Genomic DNA, 4,649 nt, shown 5'->3' with positions numbered 1-4,649 from the left:
TATTATTGTAATTTTTTAAATATTTTAAGACTTATTTTGTGACCTAGCATATGGTCTATCCTTAAGAATGATCCACATGCTGAGAAGAAAAATGTGTATTCTGCAGCCATTGGATGAAACATTCTGTAAATATCTATCAGGTCTATTTGTTCTATAGTGCACATTAAGTCTAATTTTTTTATTGTTGATTTTCTCTCTGGGAGATCTGTCCAATGAGGAAAGTGAGGTGTTGAAGTCTCCAGCTGTTATTTTGTTGGGGGTCTATCTCTTTTTTTTTTATCTCTAATAATAATTGCTTTATACATGTAGCTTGCTCCAGTGTTGGATGCATATATACTTACATTTATTATATGCTCTTGCTGAATGGACCCCTTTATCATTATATAATTACTTTCTTGGCTCTTCTTACAGTTTTTGTCTTGAAATCTGTTTTCTATAATATAAATATAACTACTCCTGCTCTTTCTTGGGCTCCATTTGCATGGAATATCTCTTTCCTTCCCTTTATTTTCCAGTCTATGTGTATCTTTGTAGGTAGAGTGTGTTTCTAGTAGGCAACAGATCACTGGGTCCTGTTCTTTCATCCATTTAGCCACTCTGTTTCTTTAGATTGAAGAGTTTAGTCCATTTACATTCACTATTACTGTTGATAACATTGGACTTACTCCTGCCAGTTTGTTATTTATTGTCTCATTGTTTTGCAGTCTTCTTTTCCTTTTTTCCTTCCTGTCATTCTTAAAGTGGAGATGATTTTCTCTGGTGGTAAGATATAATTTCTTGCTTTTTCATTTTTTGTTTATCATTGTATGTTTTCCAATTTGAAGTTACCATGAAGGTTGCAAATACTATCTTACAGCCCATTATTTTAAGCTGGTGATAACTTAAAACTGATTGCATAAACAAGCAAACAAACACACAAAAAGAAAACTAAAGAAGGGCTACACTTTAATTTTGTCCCCCCACTTTTTAACTTTTTGTTGTTTCTCTTTATGTCTTACTGTTCTGTCCATGTCTTGAAAAATTGATGTAGTTATTATTTTTTATTAGTTCATCATTTAGTCTTTCTACTTAAGTTGATAGAAGTTTACACACCACAACTACAGTGTTATACTATTCTGTGTTTTTCTGTGTCCTTAATATTACCAGTGAGTTTTGTACCTTCAGATGACTTCTTCTTGCTCATTAATATCCCTTCATTTCAGATTGAAGACCACCCTTTAGCATTTCTTGTAGGACAGGTCTGATGTTGATGAAATCCCTCGGTTTTGTTGGTCTGGGAAGGTCTTTATTTCTCCTTCATGCTTAAAGGACATTTTTGCTAAATATACTATTCTAGGATGAAAGATTTTTCTTTCAGCACTTCAAATATGTCATACCAGTTTCTCCTGGCCTGTAAGTTTTCCACTGCAGTTTGCTGTTAGATGTATTGGAGTTCTATTGTATATTTATTTCTTTTCTCTTGCTGTTTTTAAAATTTGTTCTTTATCCCTTGGGAGTTTAATTATTAAATGCCTTGAGATAGTGTTCTTTGGGTTAAATCTGCTTGATGTTCCATAACCTTCTTGTACCTGAATGTTGTTATCTTTCTCTAGGCTTGGGAAGTTCTCTGATGTTATTCCTTTGAATAAACTTTCTATTCCTATTTCTTTCTCTACCTCCTCTTTAAGGCCAGTAACTCTTAGATTTGCTTTTTTGAGACTATTTTCTAGATCTTATAGATCTTCTCATTGCTTTTGATTCTTTTTATTCTTTTTTCTCTCTGCATATTTTCAAATAGCCTGTCTTCAAGCTCACTAATTCTTTTTTTCTCCTTGATCCATTCTACTATTAAGATATTCTGATGCATTCTTCAATATGTCAATTGCACTTTTCAACTCTAGAATTTCTGCTTGATTCTTTTTAATTATTTCAATCTCTTTGTTAAATTTATCTAACAGAATTCTGAATTCCTTCTCTGTGTTATCTTGAATTTTAGTTTCCTCAGAAGAGCTATTTTGAATTATCTCTCTGAAAGACCATATATCTGTTTCTCCAGGCTTGGTCCCTGGTGACTTATCTAGTTCATTTAGTGGTGTCTTGTTTTCCTGGATGTTATTGATGCTTGTAGATATTTGTTGGTGTCTGGGCATTGAAGAGTTAGGCATTTATTGTCGTCTTCACAGTCTAGGTTTGTGTCTTTCCTTCTTGGAAAGGCTTTCCAGATACTCAAAGGGACTTGTGCCTAGTCCCAATAATACTGTAGTTTTTGTAGACTCACAGAAGTACCACCTTGGTTGTCTTTAATATAATCTGGAAGAATTCTCCGGATTACCATACAAAGACTCTTGTTCATTTTCCTTACTTTCTCCCAAACACACAGAGTCTTACTCTCTGTTCTGAGCCACCTGGAACTGGGAGTGTGGTGATGCAAGCACTCCTGTGGCCGTCACTACTGGGACTGCACTGGATCAGACTTGAAGCCAGCACAGCACTGAGTCTTCTTCAAGGCCCTTCCCTTCAGGGTAATGAGTTTCCCAAGGCCCTAGGCATGTCCAGAGATGCTGTCTGGGAGTCAGGGTTTGAAGTAAAAAACCTTAGCAAATTACCTGATACTCCATTTTATGGCAGCTAAGCTGGCACTCAAATCACAATACAAAGTCCCTCCCGCTCTTCCCTTCCCTTTTCACAGGCAGAGGGACCTCTCTCTGTGGCCACCACCACCACCAACCCATGGGGGATTCTGCCAGGCCACTGCTGATGTCACTTAAAGCCCAAGTGCTCTTCAGTCAGCTTGTGATGGATGCTGCCAGGCCTGGGACTCACCCTGCAGGGCAGTGGGCTCTCCTTTTGCCTAGGGCATTTCCAGAAATGTCATCCAAGAGCCTAGGCCTGGACTCAGGGACTCCAAGAGCCTGCTCTACCCCACCTTGGCAGAGCTGGTACCTAGGGTGCAAGACAAAGTCCCATTTACTTTTCCCTCTGCTTTTCTCAAACAGAAGGAGTCTCCCACCATAGTTGCCACAGCTGGGAATGTGTGGCATTTCCCCTGAAACCAGCATGTCTCAGAGCCCAAGGCCCATTGTGTACTCCCTGGGTATCACTGCCGGTTATTCAGGGCCCAAGGGCTCTTTCGTTAACAGATGATAAAACCTGCTTGGACTTACCTTTCCCTTTAAGAAAGAGGGTACACTTTTGGCCCAAGGTGTGTCTTGAAATGTGGTTTGGGAGCTAGGGTCTGGAATAGGGGCTTCATGACTCTACCTGGTACACTATCCTACTGTGACTGAGCTGGTATCCAAAATGCAAGACAAAGTCCTCTTTATTCTTCACTCTGCCCTCCTCAAGCAGAAGGAAGGAGTCACTTTCATTGCTTCGAGCTGCACTGCCTGGAGTTGTGGGGAGGAGTAGCACAAGCACTTCCTTAGCTGCGCCCACTGGTGTCTCCCTAGGTCACCTAGTTCTCACTAGGTACCACCCTAATTCGCTGACTCTCAGCCCAGCCTTGCACTAGGAGTTGCCTAGGTATTGCAGTCCTTGTGTCCTAGACTGCCTTTCAAGTTTACCTAGGCCCTCAGTGCACTTCAGCCTGCAGTAGCGAGGCTTGCTGAAAAACTCCAGTTCTTACCGCTAGGATGAGCGATTCCCTCTGGCTAGGGCTATTCCAAATGCTCCCTCTGGTGTGCAGGTGCTGGTTGAGACCAGCAAGGCTTTATTCTCCACTGTGATGGGGCAGCACCCAGTTCAATGTAAAATCCCCAAGTTGCTGCATTTTCCCTCCCCAAAGTGCACAGATTCTCCCTCTCTCTGCACCTCTCTCTGCTGACAGCAGATGGAGGAGGTGTGGTATCCATGATTCGAGACTGTCTCTCCTGCACTCCTCAATGCCTCTTTCAGTGATACGAAGTTAAAAGCAGGTATTATGATTCCTCACCTAATTTTTGGTTTTTGGGATGGTGCTTTTCCATGGGCAGGTAGTTATTAAAATTTGGTGTTCCAGTAAAAGGGATGAAAGGTGTAGGATTCTATTCCACCATCTTGCTCTGCCCCTAACAATAATTTTTGTTATAAAGTAAGATATTATTATCTTAGAGATAACACAAAATTAGGACAGTTTTATCTCCATAAAAGCAAGGATGAGTCTGCGCCGGGTGTACCTTATCGCCATGCCTCAGAAAATTGAGGAAATCAAGGGTTTTCTGCTTACAGCCTGGTGAAAGGATGCCAAATCTGTCAAGATCAAGAAAAGTAAGGACAATATGAAGTTTAAAGTTCCATGCAACAGATTCCTTTATACCCTGATCATCACTGACAAAGAGAAGGCAGAGAAACTGAACTAGTCCCTGCCCCCTGGTTTGGCAGTGAAGGAGCTGAAATGAACCAGACACACTGATCTAAACTGTATTAAAATATTAAAAATCCTTTAAAACAAGAAAGCAAGGATGATTCAACATCAGAAAATGAGCCAATGTAACTCACCACATGAATACACTAAAGGAGAAAAACTATAGGATGATCGTAATAGAACCAGAAAAAGCATTGGATAAAATTCAATAACTTCATGATTAAAAATTAAAACTCTTAGAAAATCAGGTCTGAAAGAGAATGTTCTAATTTATAAAGGTCATGTGACAAATACCTACAATAAACATTATATTTGCTGGAAAGATTGT

At 39.8% G+C, this 4,649-nt stretch overlaps 1 pseudogene; it reads left to right on the top strand.

Annotated features, from left to right (window-relative positions):
* RPL38P3 (RPL38 pseudogene 3) lies at positions 4,117-4,399 on the top strand (annotated as a pseudogene).

The sequence above is a fragment of the Homo sapiens genome, chromosome 4, assembly GCF_000001405.40.
Source record: "Homo sapiens chromosome 4, GRCh38.p14 Primary Assembly".
NCBI classification, from domain to species: domain Eukaryota; kingdom Metazoa; phylum Chordata; class Mammalia; order Primates; family Hominidae; genus Homo; species Homo sapiens.
Note: the sequence above shows the minus strand (reverse complement) of the source record. Positions and strands in the feature narration are given on the sequence as shown.